The sequence below is a fragment of the Homo sapiens genome, chromosome 21, assembly GCF_000001405.40.
Source record: "Homo sapiens chromosome 21, GRCh38.p14 Primary Assembly".
NCBI classification, from domain to species: domain Eukaryota; kingdom Metazoa; phylum Chordata; class Mammalia; order Primates; family Hominidae; genus Homo; species Homo sapiens.
The window spans coordinates 5694065-5713971 of NC_000021.9; the positions used below are offsets into that span (position 1 = coordinate 5694065).

At 40.8% G+C, this 19907-nt stretch overlaps 1 long non-coding RNA gene and 1 pseudogene across 1 annotated transcript; one reads left to right on the top strand and one right to left on the bottom strand.

Moving 5' to 3' along the window:
* Positions 1 to 1015: 1015 nt before the first annotated feature.
* CTBP2P11 (CTBP2 pseudogene 11) lies at positions 1016 to 7684 on the top strand (annotated as a pseudogene).
* Positions 7685 to 9412: 1728 nt separating this feature from the next.
* LOC124904990 (uncharacterized) lies at positions 9413 to 16108 on the bottom strand. Its single transcript, XR_007067799.1, has 2 exons — positions 13923 to 16108; positions 9413 to 13093 (listed from the first exon to the last, which is right to left on the bottom strand). It is a non-coding gene; the product is annotated as an uncharacterized LOC124904990 (long non-coding RNA).
* Between the last annotated feature and the right edge of the window lie 3799 nt (positions 16109 to 19907).

Sequence of the window (19907 nt, forward strand, 5' to 3'; positions counted from 1 at the left end):
CCATCACGCCCGGCTAATTTTTGTGTATTTTTAGTATACACGGGGTTTCACCGTGTTAGCCAGGAAGGTCTTGATCTTCTGACCTCGTGATCCACCCGTCTCGGCCTCCCAAAGTACTGGGATTACAGGCTTGAGTCACCGCTCCTCGCCGGCGATATTTTTTGTAGTTTTAGTAGAGACAGGATTTCACCATGTTGGCCAGGCTGGTCTTGAACTCCTGACCTCATGATCCACCTATCTCGACCTTTTAATGTGCTGTGATTACAAGCATGAAACACAGCACTGGCCTATAATTTATTATTTTTAAAACAAAGAAAAGCCTTACATTTTTACATATGGGAACAACATGAATATTGTAAAATATGCTGTGGAAAACTACAATATAATAAGCAATTAGAAATAAATTATACTATCATTCAGATAAATGTTGAGGAAAGTAAATGGAAACACTAATGATAAGTTTTTCTATGCAGTGAACTTAGACACAAACTAAAACTTTTCTTAATGTGATGTGCATATCATCCAATTCACTTTTTATATAACACATAAATTCAAGTATGTTTTCTGAAACCCCTGAAGCTAAAGTTATAGGCTAATTTGACATACGTAAAAACAGGACAGGGAAAACATACAGATCACAGTCCCACTAAGCTTTATATAAGATTAATTAATAAAATAACTCATTAAGAAATAATGTAACAGTTAAGAATTTGTTCTATTCCTGGCATGTTTCTAAGTTTTTCTATGGATTAAGGTCCTTAAAAATTCTTTGAGATGAGTAGATACAATAAACTATTCCATAGGTGATATGTTTGGCATAGAGAGTTCACATTTCTAAGTTAGTTTCTACTAAGGGAAAGAAAACTTTTTGACCTACATTACCAGAGATGAAAAAAAGAATAAAGTGAAATAGAAGATTCAACTTTATCATATCTGCTGAGGTGCTTTGGGCTCTGATAAATTTTTTTTCTGATTTTTTTGCAGGAACACATTTGAAATAATAGGACTGAAAATTATGAGGAGGAAACATTTGTCCTTGGTGTTTCTGAAATATGTGAACCAAACCCCAATGCCTGCACTTTTGCTCTCACAAACTTCTGACATGAGGCACAGATTTTTACAAAACAGCTTAACATAGAAGTCTCACAAAATGTGCAGATTTCCTCAGATCCCAAAAACAATGGAAAAGCACTCAGACCACAAGAGCTTCATGGGAATAGCAGAAAGAAGAGGTGAACTTTGGCTGTCACTGTGAATGCCCTGGAATGTTAGTGGATGAACAGAGAAGCCTTAGAAGATTTAAGAGCATAATAAGCATAGGGTAGGAAATTTCCACCTGTGGCAGCAAAAGAAGTAAATTTAGAATTTTCCAGAACCAATTTCTTTGAAGCAGAACTTCCAACACCACATTTTTAAGGTTTTCTCCTTGGCCTTTGCACCTCTCATCTTTGTTATTTGTTTATTCTTCCCTATTGGGGTGTTGCCTATTATTCTCTCTCTTTTTACATTCCAAAGACATTTCCTTTACTGTAGGACAGGGGCATCCACGGGAGACTACAGCCATGAGTTCTTAGTTTCTGTTTCTGGTTGAGCCAGTAAGGCCCTTTCCTCATCCCCCTTTTCCACTTATCACTAGACACAGAACCCAAAAACCATTGCTGCAGGCTGCTAAAAACCTAAAACAAAACAGAGCCATAACAAAAACAAAACAAGGCGGGTTGGAAAAGCTTGCTGTACGAGGCAACCAGGTCTGGCTTATATTCACCACATCCCTTCTTCTTTCCCAGAACAGCAATTGGGCTCAAGAGAAAACGTCCAACTTTTAGTATATCCCTCAGTATAGAATGAGAACAGTGGAACATATGTTCAAAGGTTTGGCTTTGTGGGCTACCGCTGATGACTAGATTCTGTCTCCCCAAACAGGGAATGCTAAAGGAAATGGCAGAGTAATGAGAATGATAACTTATGACTGCTGAGAAGAGAAGTTACATGCTTACCACAGCCTCAGAGAAACAAACACTACAATCAACTGCGGAAGCAAAGGACCACAGTGTCTGGAAAACAATGGGAAAAAATATCTTTACCTTAAAAATCCACACACAAGCCCAGAGAAGACACATTGAAGACACTGTTAATGAAGAACCAGGATGTACAGCCTCACTGATTGTTGTATTATCTTGTAGTAAGCAAGTTTGTACATACTACATTACACAGTTGTTTTATAAATTTCTGAATCTCATCAAAAGATTGCAGGGCATACAGAAAAGGACGAAAACATGTCCCAATTGAAGAAATAAAATAAACCTACAAATATTGATCTTTAAAAATCTTTGTTGACTTTTAAAGGTCAAAATTTGTAGGTTTATTCTTTGTTGTTGTTGTTTTTGCATTATATAATTTTGAAAATCAAAATAATTATCAAAGCTCCTTAATGATATGAACACTCCTCCAGTCCGCAGGGCTCCGGCAAGGGAGGAGCTTAGACACCATGCGGGACACCCGGGTGGACCCCCAACCCACGCCCGAGGCTCAGAGCAGGAGCAAGGACCTGGCTGCACCAGGCCGAAGCCGCCTCCACCCCCAGCGGTCGCGGACTCCAGGAGCTCCAGACCTGGGGTCGTGGTGAGATTCGTTGATTGACTGCGCGATGGTGGCTGAGTTGCAACCAAATGGGTTTCATCACCTTAAATGGTTTTGAACCAATGAAGCTATATTCCCTTAAAGAGACGGACAGCCCATCGTGTGAACTATAGAGTTTGTGAACAAATTTATATTGGGTTCATAGTGGCATCATGCACACAGACTCCTGCGAGTTCCCCTAAGTTCTTAGAGGACTGCTTTACCTTTTGATCTGAGAGTTGCAAAGTTCCGTAAAGAATGGCCCTGTGGATAAGCGCTAAGTCAAGAGACAGCGATTGGACAGAATTTGTGAAGGAATTCGCCGCCAGATCACGAAAGACCCCCTAAGCCCCCGCTCACTGGCAGCGTTCCTGGTCGGCCGTGACTGCACTGTGGACATGCCCATCCTGAAGGCCACCGTGGCCTTCTATGATGCAGTCCACGCAGGAAATCCACGAGAAAGTTCTAAACAGAGCCGTGGGCCCCATGATGCACCACACAATCACCTCACCAGGGAGGTTCTGGCAAATTTCAAGTCCTTGAGAGTGATCGTGGGGGTGGGCAGTGGCTATGACAACGTGGACATCAAGGCTGCCAGCGAGCTCGGAATTGCTGTGTGAAACATCCCGTCCGCAGCCGTGGAAGAGACAGCCAATTCCACCAACTGCCACATTCTCAACATGTACCGGAGGAACACATGGCTGTACCAGGCACTGTGGGAAGGCAAGCGGGTTCAGAGCATGGAGCAGATCTGCGAGGTGGCCTCGGGAGTGGCCCGCATTCGTGGGAAGACGCTGGGCCTCATCGGCTAGGGTCGCACGCAGCAGGCTTTTGCAGTTCCAGCCACAGCCTTTGGATTCAGCGTCATGTTTTATTACCCCTACTTGCAGGATGGGATCGAGCAGTCCCTGGGCATGCAGAGGGTCTACACCCTGCAGGATTGGCTGTATCAGAGCGACTGCATCTCCTTGCACTGCAGTCTCAACGAACTTAAGCACCACCTCATCAATGACTTTACCATAAAGCAGATGAGGCAGGGAGCATTCCTTGTGAACGCAGCCCGTGGTGGCCTGGTGGACGAGAGAGCCTTAGCACAGGCCCTCAAGGAAGGCAGGATACGAAGGGCAGTCGTCGACGTGAACGAGTCGCAGCCCTTTAGCTTTGCTCAGGGTCCGTTGAAAGATGCCCCCAATCTCATCTGCACTCCTCTCACTGCCTGCTACAGCCAGCAGGTGTCACTGGAGATGAGGGAGACAGCTGCCACCGAGCTCCGCCGAGCCATCACAGGTCGCATCCCAGGAAGCTTAAGAAACTGTGTGAACGAGGAATTCTTTGTCACATCTGTGCTTTGGTGGGAAATAGACCAGCAAGAAATTCATCCAGGCATCTTGGGCGTGGGTCCAGGAGGACTTCCTGCATCCATGGAAGGGACATTCCCTGGAGGCATCCCGGTGACTCACAAACTCCCCACAGTGGCACATCCTTCCCAAGCACCCTCTCCCAACCAGCCCTCAAACACGGGGACAATCGAGAGCACCCCAACGAGTAATAACAGAGAATGCCGGAAGGTAATCATTCAGATACACTTTTGAAGAAGAGACAGTGAAAAATAGACAAACTAAGAGAAAAAGAATCTGACGCTCTTTTTAGCTGATTCTGGACATATGCTCATTGGTTTTGCACTGTTAAAACTGCAAGACCTAGAAAACTGCAGATGTCGTCTGCTTACGGAAGCTCTGAAAGACTAGGATGTGATTTATTAACCACCAACTTCCGTTATTATGTGTTTAGTTTTTCATCTGTGCATCAAATCACAAAGAATGAATACAATTTTTTCCTTTATCAGTCCCTTGGGCACAGCAGGTCTGGAACACCCTGCTCAGAATGTTGCATCAAGACTTCAAACATCAAAATAAAAACCATGAGGAGGAAATCCCCATCTTGTGACTTGAGTCCCTTCAGTCTACAGGGACTGGTTACAGCATTTTGTTAATAGGAAGATCACATTACTAGAAAATATGGAGTAAACTGTTTGCCTATGGTAGACATCCTCACACATAAGATTGAAGACAGTACCGGCTCCTGTACAGAGAAGCGTCTCTCACATCTGAACTGCATACTGAGCGGGCAAGTTGGTTGTAAGTTCAGTAAAAGCCTCTGATAATGCAAAAAAAAAAAAAAAAGTATTAAGTTTCACACGCTGTTTGTAATCAAGTATATTTTCTCAGTTTCAGATCCTCTGCTATTTTATTTAGTGGGAAGTCTTGCACTAAAAGGGTTCAAGAAAAATAGTGTTGCATTTTCTTATGTCACAGGAAACACTTTTAATGGTAACTTGTCAGATTGTCTATGAACAAACCCACTTTTTAAGACATTGATAAAGTCTTCTTTTCTTCACGTTGTGTTTTATACAAGAACACTTCAGCTGTATTGGATGTGACTGATTTTAACAAATTATATTAGATTTGCATCAATTAGTTACATGTTCTATTTATAGTCTTTTGTGAATATAGTCTTTTTGTTTAAAAAGATGGCCTGTTTTGATCCTTTGATTAGGTACATTCCCGTTTTTGTAAGAAAAGAGAAATTTTTAAGACTGTCCCAAACAGAAAAATAATGGCTATCAGAAGTACGTTTTGTTTTAGTGTAGTGCGAATTACCGTTACTGTAGTTGTTTATTGTAAAGATGGACATTTAGCATTCAGTGCAGTTTTCAATAAAATGTGATTAGAAAAAACTGCTTAATGAACAAAAACAGAACATAGACAACAAAAGAATATTAGAAGAAGTGATACATAAAGAAAATGAGATATCAATAAAAAGATTTTTAAAAACCAACAATTGTGAATCTGAAGAACATAATAGCTATATTAAAAATTTAATCAACAGTCACAAAAGCAGACTAATAAAGGAGAAAAAATTACACAATTGATGACATTGTAGTTATAAATATTGAGTGATGAAAACAAATTTTTTAAGCAGAATGGAGGAAAAAGTATGGGAAGTACTGCACATGGTCAAGTGGACCATTATATTTATGAAAGGAGTCTTACAAAAACAATATAGGAGAAAAGTAATAAAGAGGTTATTTTTAAAAAGTAGCTGAGAAATCCCCACATGGCAAGATAATTAAACAAGAAGAAATACTTCCAAACAAAAACCTTCAACTGGAGTAATATCACTTCAGAAATAAAAAAACTAAACCTTTCCAAATAAATAAAAGTTGATTGTGTTACTAACCACTAGAACAGTCCTAAAGGAAGTGTAAAAGAGTCTATCACGTCCAAAAATGAAATGATGCTGCAGAGCATCATAACAGCACATGAAAATAGAAAGCTCTCTATTAAAGGTAAATATATAAACAGGTAAAGAAATCTCTACTGTCATAATCATGGTGCACAAAACTTTCAAAATATTGCCATGGAGTTTAAAACATGAGGCAGAAATCTGCATAAATTTGTGATCATAGACCATAAGGAAAGATAATATGCGATATTAATAAAACAGTGGGGGTGTCAAGAGGTACAACTTTGCATTCAGTTGAAATATAGTTGTTCTATACTGTCATAACTTTAAGATGATTTATGAAGTCTTTATTTCTCAGGATGATTACCAAAAAAAACCTGTAGAATGTATGCAAAGGCAAATGAGAAAGAAATTCAATCACGTCACTACAAAATCAACAAACAGAAATAAAGCAGTAAGAGAAAAAATGATAAATAACACATCTACAAGAAACACAGAAGACAATTACAAATAATAAAGTAACTTCATTAAATGCAGTAATTACTTCAAATATAAAAAGTTAAATACCTTAAAGAAAATTAATAAATAATTTAATGGATTAAGAACAAAGAAGATCCAGCAATTTGCTCTCTACAAGAGTCACTTCAGCTCTAAGGACTCAAATAAGTTGAAAGTAACAGTATAAAGAAAATATATTTTATTCAAAGAGTAGCTAAAATTGGAGGGCCATGGTCATAATTATACTAAACAAAATATATTTTAAATCAAAAATATGAACAAGAGACAGATTGGTATTGTGTTTTTGTTTTTGTTTTTGGAGACAGAGTCTCATTCTGTCACCAGGCTGGAGTGCAGTGGCACGATCTCGGCTCACTGCAACCACAACCTCCCTGGTTCAATCGATTCTCCTGCTTCAGCTTCCCGAGTAGCTGGGACTACAGGCACACGCCGCCACCTCACCCAGCTAATTTTTGTACTTTTTAGTAGAGATGGGGTTTCACCTTGTTGGCCAGGATGGTCTCGATCTCTGGACCTCATGATTCACCCGCCTCGGCCTCCCAAATTGCTGAGACTACAGGCGTCAGCCACTGCGCCCGGCCGAGAGAGATTGGTATTATGTAATGGTGAGATGGATTAACTTTCCAGGAATCTATAACAATAATTTATAAATCATATATATATAATTTGAAAAATCTGCAAAAATATACCACTGAGATTTTGACAAAAATTACATTAAATTTTTGTATTACTATAAATAGCACTGACATCTTTCTTTCTTTTTTTTTTTTTAGAGACAGAGTTTCTTTCTCTCTGGCTGGAGGGCAGTGGCATGATCTCTCGATAGGCTCACTTCAACCTCCTCCTCCCAGGTTCAACTGATTCTCGTCTTTCAAATATGTAAAACAAATATTGACAGAAGTCAAGCAAGAAATACATAGCAACACAACAATGGTGGACTTCAAGACTCCACTTTCAGTAATGACTAGAATAGTCAGAAGTAATATCAGTAAGAAAGCCAAACCTGAACATTATAGACCCAACCAGCATTTACAGAACTCTCCAATTTAAAGGAGCAAAATCTGCAATATTCTAAATCACACATGGTACATTCTGTTAGGATACATGTCTTATTAAATTTAAGAAAACTGAAGCCATACAATGTAAATGAAACTAGAATTCAAAAGCAAGAAAATGTGGCAAATATGTAAATAAGAGGAAATTAAGCAAAATCTTTCATATAGTCTTGCTCAAGTGTCAGGTGATTTAATATTGTTAAGATGTCAGGGCCGGCATGAGGCTCATGCCTGTAATCCTAGGACTTTGGGAGGCCAAAGTGGGTGGATCACTTGAGATCAGAAGTTTGAGACTAGCCTAGTGAATATGGCAAAACCCTATCTCTACTAAAAATACAAAAGTTAGCTAGACGTGATGGTGCACGACTGCAATCCCAGCTACTCTGGTGGCTGAGACTGGAGAATTGCTTGAACCTGGGAAGCGGAGCCTGCAGTGAGCACATCTCGCACCCCTGCCCTTCAGCCTGAGTGACTCACTAAAACTCCATCTCCAAAAAAAAAAAAAAAAAAAATGTTGTCAGTACTACTCATGATGATATAAAAATGTAAGGTAATTTTTGTCAAAATCCCAATGGTATTTTTTTTGCAGAATTTTTGTGTATAATTCTAAACGTTGCTTAGGACAGGTGACTAGCCAAACACCCTTTAAAAAGAACAAAGAGGTATTACATTTTCTGATTCAAAATCATGATACAAAGCTACAAAAATAAAAACAATGTGGTATTGCCACAAAAACAGATACATAGATGACGAAACAGAATAGAGATCCCAGAAATAAACCCTTGCATATGTGATAAAATAATCTTCCGTAAGCTTTCCATGACCACACAATAGAAAAATAAGAATCCATTTAACAAAGAGTTTTCCAAATTGAATATTTACAGAGAAAAAAATAAAGTTGGATGCTTCCTTTGTATCATATATAAAAAGAAAAGTTTTTAAAATGAATTCAATACTTAAACATAAAACCTAATAAAATTCTTAGAAGTAAACATAAGGGAAAAGTTTATGACATAAGTCTTAAAACTCTTTCCTTAAGTTTGACATCAAATTCATAAGCAACAAGGAAAAGAACAACGACCAAGAAAAGGGACTACATTAAGCTTCAACTATTCTACACATCAAATAAAACATTTAGTGCCATACAAACGTCACCTAATAAGTGGGTGAAAGCTAGGCATGGTGTCTCATGCCTTTAATTCTACAACTTTAGGAGGCCAAGGCAGAACAATCACTTGAGACCAAAAGTTTGAGACTAGCCATGAAAACATAGCAAGACCCTGTCTTGTATAGGGTTATATATATGCATACATACATACATATAACTAAAAAGAGTAAAAATATTTTCTAATCACATATTTGGTAGGTGTTAATTTTCAAAATATATAAATTCCTAAAACTCAACAACAAAAAAAGTTAATAACTTGATTTAGAATGGCACATGTTTGAAATGACTTTCTCCAAAGAAGACATAGAAATGACTAGGCATTTAAAAGGATACTCGACAACTCTCTTCTAGAAAAATACAAAGAAAAGTCACAATAATCTATCACATCAAACCTATTTTTAAAATAGTATGAAAGCTCTTCAAAAAATTTAAAATGAGATTATTATACAATCCAGCAAACCCCATTCTGGCTATGTATTTAAAATATACAACACATGATCCGGAAGAGATATTTGCACACCCAAATTTATTGCAGCATTACTAACACAAGCCAAAAGGCAGAAACAACCCAGCTGTCCCTTGACCAATGAAGAGATTAACAACAAGTGGCACATACACAAAGTCGAATATTATTCAGTCTTTAAAAAGTCACATTATATGATTATTCTTGAGAATATCACGTTAACTGAAATAAGCCAGGAACAAAGTGACAGTCTATGATTCCATTCATAATCAGGTATCTTAAGTAGACAAACTCATAGAAAAAAAAAGTTAGAATGGTGTTTGTCAAGGACTGAAGAGATGGTAAAATGGGCAATTGTCTTAAAAGACATTTAATGTTAGTTTTGCAAGACATAGAAGTTCTACAGATCTTTTGCATAACTATGTGAATGTACTTAACGCTAATGAAATATACACTTAAAAAGAATTAAAATGGTAAATTTTACATTATGTGTTTTTACCACAATCGCAATTTTTAAAAGGAAAAATATGGACTTATAAAGCTTTCCAAAAATTAAATTTTGTTCACAAAAGATTTTCTCTCACACAAAGGAAGTATAGATTTATAATTAAACACATTGTGAAATTAAGATTATTTCAATGACTATTCATCCACACAAGATAAGACAACCACTGAAAATCAGCCAAAAAATATGGAAGATAAGCCATGAGCAAAGTTGGGGACATATTTATAGAGACAAACACATATATAATTTAATTTTGAAAACGTATGACCGATTTATATTTTAATTAAACCCAACATTAGTTTCCTGAGTGAAATTTGGTTTTCAGTTTGGGCAAATGAAGACCTTTCTGTGGTTAAAAGGATTCTTTCTTCTCCGTTTCTTCATATGGACCTGTGCTGGGGATTGGTCAGCTGTTCAAGTGCAATGCACTCAGTTTTGGTTCTGTGCCAGGATTAAACCTACGATATTTCACATTTCATATATAAACCCCGATGAAGTGTTTCTAGGAGATGGCTGCCTCATAACCTATATTTTGCCAAATGTTTACTATGAATTTCACCACCATCCTCTTGAAGGTGGTATTGTAACTAAAACTCTTCAGGACATTCTACTTAAAACTAAAATCACGTATATCTCAAGAAACTCCTTTCTGATTTGAAATGCCTCTGTCATGTATTGTCTGCAATCAGCCTCCTCTTTAAAAGAAAGTAGAAAGGACAGATGAGGAAACTGATAGTGTTACTGCATGGGAGACAGAGGTGAGGATACACATGGCGGATGAAAACATGGAAGTTATTTCTACAGCACGATCTTGTAAGTGTCTGACTGCTATGCTCCCTTGTATATCAAATGATGTACCTTTATTGCAAGAGAAGATAGTGCGCTGTTTACCTTGACATTGAGAGGCAATTTTGAATCTCTGTCGTGATTGTTTAGGACTGAGGATTTAATGTGCTATTTTGTGGAAATCTTAGAAGCAGTAATGGGATTTAATGATCTTAACTATCATCCTTCTGAAAAATCTAACGCGATTTTAAATAAAATGGCCGGCTGCTTCCACCGTTCCCTTTTTAAACCAGGAGCTGCCGTTGCTTTTAACATTACGAAGTTGAATCTATGAATAGTTTGTACTATTAACATTTTTTTAAAAATCCACATTGACTTGAAGTGTACAGGCAGAGTTGGAAATTATAACATCCAAAGTTATAATACATAAGTAAAACCCAAAATAAAATCAACTGCTGCCCTGGAACCTATTATAAATAATCGAGACAGTAATATGGAATTGTAAAGAAAAATAAGAAACATATTTACTCATAAAATCTTGCAAGCAAAGTTTTTTTCTTTTTTTGAGACAGAGTCTCACTCTGTCACCCAAGCTGAAGTGCAGTGGCGAGACGACGGCTCATTTCAACCTCCGCCTCCTGAGTTCAAACCATTCTCCTGCCTCAGCCTTCACTGAGATTACAAGCACCTGCTACCAGACCAGGCTACCTTGCATATAAACTTGATATATCATTTATGAAAATACTTTTTAGATAACTAAAATATTCTACTGTGACTGTGCATTCATGAAGTTCGGGTATCTTGAATCATTGGCATGCAGTGTGTGACAGTAAAATTTCACAGAAAATACACTGTAACCATTAATAAAAGGCCCTAATAAGAGAATTTTAATGCATAAGAATTGAAAAGACACCATAAATAATTTCCGTTGTATTTTTAATACACTGATGCTATTCTTACACAAAGTAAAAAGGCTGGGTAAGTTGTGGTGGCTCACACCTGTAATTCCAGCAATTTGGGAGGCCGAGGTAGCAGATTGCTTAAGCACAAGAGTTCACAACATGCCTGGGCAGGATAGGGAGACCCTGTCTCTGCAAATAATAATAAACAGCCAAGTGTGTTAATACACATTTGTGGTCCCATCTGCTCAGGAGGCTGAGGCAGGAGAATTGCCTGAGCCTGAGTGGTCAAGGCTAGAGTGAGCTGTGATTATGCATTGCATTCCAGCCCAGGTGACACAGTGAGACCCTGTTTAAAGAAAAAAACAAACAAAAACTAAAAATTAACCAGGAGTAGTGGCATGCACCTGTACTCCCAGCTACTTCAGAAGCTGAAGTTAGAAAATCATTTGAGCCTGAGAGTTTGAGTCTGCAGTGAGCCATAATTGAGCTACTGAACTCCAGTCTGTGTGACAGAGCAAGGCCTTGTCATAGATAGATAGATGATAGATGATAGATAGATAGATAGATAGATGGAATACACCTGGAGAAAGAGTAAATTTTAATGTAGTGTGATGTAATTTTTAAAATAAACTTTATGTGTGTATCACTTAGAAATTTATAGAACAGGCCGGGGGCGGTGGCTCACGCCTCTAATCCCAGCACTCTGAGAAGACGAAGTGGGCAGATCAGGGGGCCGGATATCGAGACCAAGACCATCCTGGCTAACACGGTGAAACCCTGTCTCTACTAAAAATACAAAAAATTAGCCGGGTGTGGTGGCGGGCAACTCTAGTCTCAGCTACTCGGGAGGCTGAGGCAGGAGAATGGCGTGAAACCGGGAGGCAGAGCTTGCAGTGAGCCGGGATCGCGCCGCTGCACTCCAGCCTGGACAACAGAGCGAGAGTCTGTCTCGAAAAAAAAAGAAATTTATACAACTTAGCCAGAAGAATAAAAAACAACCTCTTAACAGTTTTTTCAAATAAAAAAAGTGAGTTTGAAGAGAAGGGAATAAAGGGGACTTTCAGTTTAATGTGTTTTTTATTTTTTGAGTCAGGGTCTCACTTTGTTGCCCACATGGAAGCGCAGTGGTGTGATTTCAGCTCACTGCAAACTTGGCCTCCCAGGCTCAAACAATCCTCCCACCTCAGCCTCCCTAGTAGCTGGGAATACAGGTGTACATCACCACAACTGGTTAATTTTTGTATTTTTGTAGAGAGAGGGTTTTACCATGTTGCTCACACTGGTCTTGAGCTTCTGGGCTCAAACAATTCACCTGCCTTGGGCTCCCAAAGTGCTGGGATTGAGCCACTAGGCCAACCAAGTTTTTTGTTTGGTTTTGTTTTTGAGATGGAGTCTCACTCTGTTGCCCAGGCTAGAGTGCAATGGCACGATCTTGGCTCACTGCACCATTTGCCTCCTGGGTTCAAGTGATTCTCCTGCCTCAGCCTCGTGGGTAGCTGGGATTATAGGCACCCGCCACCGAGACCAGCTAATTTTTGTATTTTTTAGCAGAGATGGGGTTCCACCATGTCAGCTAGGCTGGCCTCAAATTCCTGACCTCATGATCCACCCACCTCGGCCTCACAAAGTGCTGAGATTACAGGCATGAGTCACTGCTCCCGGCGACCAGCCAAGACTTTTACTTTATAAAGATATTTATGATGTTTTCTTTTCTTTTTACAGTACGCATTGCATTTATAATTGGAGATACAAAAAAAGGTGACTGTTACTGTTTGACAGCAAGGCAGTAGTATTATCTTCATCAATATTTGCAACTTAATTCGCAGGAACCTGTAAGAGAAAGCCCAGACAAAACTTTAAGGCAAAGAAGTTACACTTGTAAAAAATGAGAGGACTATTTTTTTATAATAACAAATATTCCAGGTGAGGACTGGTCAGGATCTACCACTGCTCCATCTCACTTGATAAGTCTCATGCCTGCCAGGGTAAGAAGGAGCAGAGAGAAGGACAAATGCCAGTGAGTTTCCTCTCCCACTAAGGATCTGTTTGTCAAGTTTCCTACCATCAAGTGGAAGATGTACTAAAAATAAAATGTACCCTTGCAGATGCTAGCAGAGAGGCACAAAATAGAAAAGGAGGTAAGCCCATATATTGTGGAGAAAGAGATCCAACTTAAGATTCAAAATGCACCAGAAAGCTGTGTAAAGTTAATAAAATTACTCAAAATCTTGGAACATTTGTTTCCTCACCTGTAAAATGGGGATCATGTGCCTACTTCATAAGTTGTTTTGACAGTTAAATTCACAGAGATATTTAATAGAGCCTGCTATGGCAAGTGTTCACATTAACAAAGTAGTATCAAACTTCAAAATATGGGAAAGGTATTTTGAATAATGTCTATGAGGCCAAGGACAACATGCCCAGCTTCACAATCAATCCCAGCCACATTACACTGAGGAGATCTACAGGCAACTATATTTCTTCAACAAATTCCATTAGAGAGGAAGAGTGTGTAGTCTGAAAACATGACACAAATGTGACCAGTGTACAGTGACTTAGGTAGTCGGGGGTGGAATCCCTACATATTCTCTGAATTGCAGCTACACAGTGAGTTCCCAGGAAACAAATGGAATAGAAAAGGTGACACAAAATATACTACCATAAATGGGGTGAGCATAGCAGGTTCACAACCACAAATGTAAGCAGGAGACTCAAATCACCAGGAGCACCTAGATCTGTGAACAGCAGCTTGTGGTGGCATCAGGTTCAACTTTCTGAGACCACCGGTGTGGGCAGTGTCTTTGCAGGCACATACTCGGCAGCAGTGTATCTGAAGACAGATCTCAAGGCTCTTCTCTTCACTAATTATTAAGATGATAGATGATGGATACCCTCACGTTACAACATCCCCACTAACGCTGTGGACAAGTGAATTCAGAAACCCACACCTAAATACACAGTGAAGAGTAGGATGAGAATACTGCAGGATAGGTTAGGAATGCAGGCATTCGACCCCATAGAGTCTATTTAAAATAAGAGAAGGGCCCTAGTATTGTGCTGTGGTCCTCCTATATATAGTTCTTTATTTTTCCAATTTCATAAAGGCCATACAGTTTTTCTTCCTTTCTTCACAAATGTGCTGATGAACCCATGAGTAATTCATCCTGAAGGGGTTAATTCCTCATAAAGTACAGTAACGTGATTCAATTGCTATGATGAGGTTTTTCAGGATTTTTTTATAGTGTCCCATACTCACCGATCACAAGTGAAAATTATAAGAACATGTAATTTGAACAAAGTATTCTTTTCACATAGAGAAATACACAGGTTTATACAGATTAGATGCATCATCAAAGTTGGTAACATCTGGGAACAAAAGGAACTATCCTGAGGACATAAGGAACTTAGGGACGTCGATTATTAAGAGGCTACCTGCAAGTGGAACTTCTGGGTTTTCATTGTCTAGACAGAAAAATTTAACTCATAAGCCCCAGTATATTAAGGTACATCCCCAACGGCTGTGGGGGATCAACTTTCCATCCAAAGCAGAGATGTAAAACATGAATGACTTCAAATGCGGCTCAAGTGCTCTGCACCTTGAAAGTCATCCCCACAAAGCTGGAGCACCACCTGTTCCTGAGGGATGAGGTCACCAACTGCTTTTTTGAGACACTCGTCAGTCAGGACTCAGTTGAGATGAGGCTGGTGATTTCAACTGTAAAATATCTAAACCATCGTCTTTAGGTAGATTCTTATGCCTGGGAATTGTGGTTTTCTCCTCTGCTGTTAGCAGATCCTGAGTAACCCAAGAAATACCCGCTCTCACCCGTCAAGTTCTATATCACAAGAAAGGCGCTGCAGACGGTGACATTTTCACGAAGGAGCCACAGCCCGCATCACCCCCTGAAAGCTCTGAAGTTGCGCACGGGTGGGTCACGCAGCAGGTGGATGTCTCAGTTCCCATAGAGTTTAGCAGAGCAGGCGGCTCCCTGGGCTGGAAGAGGTGCGATGCTCTGGAAACCCCCCGCGGGTGTGTATGTGAGAGGACACCGAGATGTTCAGCGGGCTGTTCAGTGAGGACCAGACCCCTCCGATTTGAGCAAGGGAGGTGCACTTCGCAGGGTCACACCGTCCTCATCGCCCAGCCTAGACCTGCCCCTCAAGTCCTTCTGCGGACTCCCTTGGCGAGGGGGTGGCACAGAATCAGCATGTGGCATCGCTTAGGAAAGGACGAGTCCACACCGCCCTGTCCCTCCCTCCAGGGCTGCGCACCACGGGGTAGGACAGACAGCGCATGCTGGTTTTGTAGTTAGCAGGTCGGCGACCAATGGGCTGGAAACCGTTAAGACACCATAACTCCCAGCACTCCTAGCTAGGGACGCGCCTCCCTATCCTTCGCTTCCATACTACACACCGCCCCCAAACCCAGCGCATGCTGAGATTGTAGTCCGTTAGCCTCGCGACCAATGGGCTGGAAATACTGAAAGGACTATGACTCCCAGGATGCTTTGCGAGGTACCCGCCGTCCCGATCCTTCCTCTAGGGCTGCGCACCGCCCCCAAGCCCAACGCATACTGGGATTGTAGTCAGGTAGTCCTGGGACCAACTGACTGGAAACTGTTAAGAGACCATAACTGCCAGCACGCCTGGCTAAGGACGCACCTCCCTATCCTTCCCTTCAGTGCTACACACCGCCTCGAAGCCCGGTGGCTGCTGGGATTGTAGTCTGCAGGCCGGGGGCCATCGCTGGAAACCGTTAAGAGACCATAACTCCCAGCATCCCTGGCCAGGGACGCGCCTCTCTATCCTTCCCTCCAGCGTTACACACCGCCCCAATCCCGGTGCATGCTGGCATTGTAGTTCGGTAGCCTTGCGATCAACGTGCTGGAAACTGTTTAAGGACTATGACTCCCAGGACGCCTTGCGAGGGACCCACCCTGTTGACCCTTCCTCCAGGGCTGGGAACCTCCCTTAAGCCCAGCGCATGCTGGGATCATAGTCCGACTGCCGCGACAGAAAGGCTGGGAGTGGATCTGAGACTACAGTTCCAACACTACGGGGAAAATTTCATCTTCTCTGAGACTACAGTTCCAACACTGAGGGGATAATTTCATCTTCTCCTCCGCCCCTCCATGTTTCCAGTGCAATTCCGCCCTGCTGAGGGGAGCCTATCTGTTCCCAAACTTCTGCGTGCGAGGAGACAGCGTGGCCAGGGCAGGTGGTCTCACTTGTAATTGTGGCACAGTCTCCCCACGTGCCAGTTGTACGACTATTTGTGCCTGAAGTTTGATTTCTCTCTGACAAGACAGAGCCCGGGAGCCTCCAACAGCCTGCCCAGCGTTGCTGTAACGCTTGCTTTCGGGGAGCTGGGCGCGCCCAGACCTTTGCAGGGCCCCTCCCTCAGCCCCGACCCTTCTCCTCGCCCCTCCCCTGCCACGCCCCTTTCGACATGCTGGAAAGTCATCTACCTTTAATAACAGTCATCTTTGCAAAAAAAAAAAAAAAAAAAACTCTGAGAATAACCTATCTCCCATTCTATTTAGTATTTATTTCCATAGTATCCATAAATAGTAGCAATTAGATATCACAGCAAGTCAAGCAAAAGCCCTGCCTTGCCTGTTTCATAAACCACGATATGGCCTTGCTGTGGTTTTATTTGTATTTTGTTTTGTATTTATTGACCTTTTGGATATAAATATTTAGGTATTTGGACAGTTTTTGGAAGTATTCCGCTATTAGTTGTTGATTTACTTCTGTTCCCTATTTAATTATTTTTTGTCTCTCCCTTCTCCTTAGACTCAGTCATTCCACAGGTCTCGAGAGTTCTGTTCATTTCCTTTAAACTTTTTGTACTTTTTTTTTTCCAGACTGGATAATTTCTATTGCTGTGTCTTCTGTTTTAAATCTATGGCTAAACTCAAAAGATTTTTTTCATTTCCTTATCTATAATTTTTTTATATATATGTTCATTTCTCTGCTGAAGTTCCACATCTGTTTGTTTATGAATAGAATATTTTCTTTTTTCCCCATGAACATATTCATAAAAACTGCCTTCAAATTCTTGTCTGCTGATTGCAACATCCTGGGATAGCTTCTACTGCCTGCTTTTGATATTGTGTATGGATGACATTTTCACGTTTCTTTACAAGTCTTATGAATTTTAAAATTGTGCACTAGAAACTATAAATGATAATTATAGAATAGAAACTCTGGATTTTGCTGTTTTACCTTGAAGACTTTTGTTTTATAAACAGGGTTCATTGGGCTAGTGTCAAACCAATGCTTATGTCCGCTACAGTGGGTATAGCTGAAATCTTCATTCAGTTGTTAAACACACATATCATATATGTATTATGCATAGGCGTTTTTCTATAATAATATATTTTATTCAAGTTTCATCATTGTTATTTGTGAGAGTTCAACAAGCTAGTCCACACTTAGTGGAAGTCAGAACCTCAGTTTTATTTGATTGTAGCATTTTATATAAACAAAATTATATAGTATGTATACTTGTACATCTGTTTTCTTTATTTCCTTTTCTGTTTTCTTTCTTTCTTTCCTTTTCTGTCTTCTTTCTTTCTCTCTTTCTTTCCTTCTTTCTTTCTCTCTTCTTTTTTCTTTCTTTCTTTTCCCCAGGTTGGTGTGCAGTGGCATGATCTCACTGCAACCTCTGCCTACCAGGCTTAAGATATCCTTCCACTTCAGCCTTTTGAGTCACTGGGACCGCAGCCTTGCACCACCATGCCCGGCTAATTGTTTTGTATTTTTGGTAGAGACAGGGTTTCACTATGTTGCCCAAACTGGCATGTCTGCTTTCTTTTATGCAACATTACATTTGTGATATTCACCCACCAGTTGCAAATAGCTATAGTCTGTTCATTTTAGAAAGTAGTTTTTACCTTTTAGTAAAATATAAAAATACATGAAATTAACCATTTTATTATTTTTTTTGTGTGCAGTTTAAAGAAATTAAATACATTCACATTGTTTTGCAACCATTGTCCAAGTTCATAAGGAACTGTTTTTCAATCTTTTAAAAGTGAAACTCTGTACCCAGTAAACAACACTCCCCTTCCATTGCCCTTTGTGTAGTCCCTGGAAACTACTCTTCTACTTCGTGTTTCTATGAACTTAACTGCTGTAAATATCTCATATGAGTGGAAAGAGACAATATAGCAAAAAAATCATGAGGAAGAATAATATATACTATATAACATATGTTTATCCATTTTAAGAAAAATGCTAGCAGAGATCAGGTCATGGTGTTTATAGAGAAAGGTAGGTAACAGTGAAAAAGGGATTGGTTGCATTAAATTTACGACGTGATGCCTCAAGTGCCAGAGTAGTGAGCTTTCTGCCCCACTCGCAGGGCTGGTCAATGGTGTGGCTGGAACCCTACTTGAGCTGCCTGACTGCCAGAGCCCATGCTTAGTACAAACTTCAATGAGCCATGAAAGCAATTCCAACAACAGGCACTTAATGGCTCTGAGATTTTATCACAGCCTGTTCTTCATGGCTAGCAACTTCAGAGAAGAGTGACAGCTGTGAGGTTCCAGAAGCCACACCTCAGGTCCCCCAGTTCCTCCCCAGCAGCTGGAGTCCAGGTGCAACAGGACCTGATGCCGGCCAGGGAACCATGGCCACACGCTGTGTGAGGCTGGCGGCAAGACAGTCTCCCCTCCTACCCTCTGCTCATCTGCTAGGTCTTTGCCTTTTATTCTGATTGTGCTGCTCCAGGCTTGGAACAAAGCCCGAAATTCCTCTTGAGTCTGAAGATGATGATGGTTTCCAGCTGTGTGGAACTGCTGCATCTCCTGGAGGACTTTAATCTTCTGGAAACAGAGGGAAAGACAGGATGCTGACAGGGCCTGGGTGAAAGACTCTGTAGGGGCCTTATAAAAGAAGGGAGGAGGGCTGGTCTCTGAGGTGTTTCTTTTAAGGGGCTCTCACCTCCCCTCCAATATCATGCAGCCCTAACTGGTTCTCAGAGTTGAATGTAAACGGCCCTTCCTCTAGGAAGTTGTCATCAACTTCACTCCCCTGATTGCACCCTGCATTAGGATAGGTCTCCTCCTTCTCTGTGTATTACTCCCTTTCAATAAATCTTAGATGCGGAAGAAGGGACCAGGGAATGTCCTGCCCAGGGTGATTTCTCATTTCCACCTCCACCCTCCCTCAAAGTGAGGACTTCAGCTACTGCTCACCTTTCTGTTTTTCTGGGTTTTGATCACATTTCTCTGGAAGACAGAAAGCCAAAGACCATCAGAAAGGTCCGCTGGTCCATAACTAGCCTCCATTTCCAGCGATTTCCAAGCTTCACCACTACCAGAGCCACCAGGGTCAGGGAATGTGCACAAAAGAGGTCTTGCAGCTCTGCAGCTTCACTACTCAGGGAGTGGGACTGATGGCTGCTGTGGAGCCTCCATCACTCATGAGTAAAATACCCTGTTTACGGGATGGGGAGGGCTGCGAGGCCCTCGCAAAAAATTTTGGCAAGGACTGAGATCTAGGAGCTCAGTTCAAGACTCTCTTCTCCCAGGCCTCAGGATCCTGGTCCCTGACCTGTCTTCTCCAGGCTCACTCACATCCACACACTCCTTCATGGCAATGTCCAGCATCACCACATCAGTGAGGAATGTCCCCA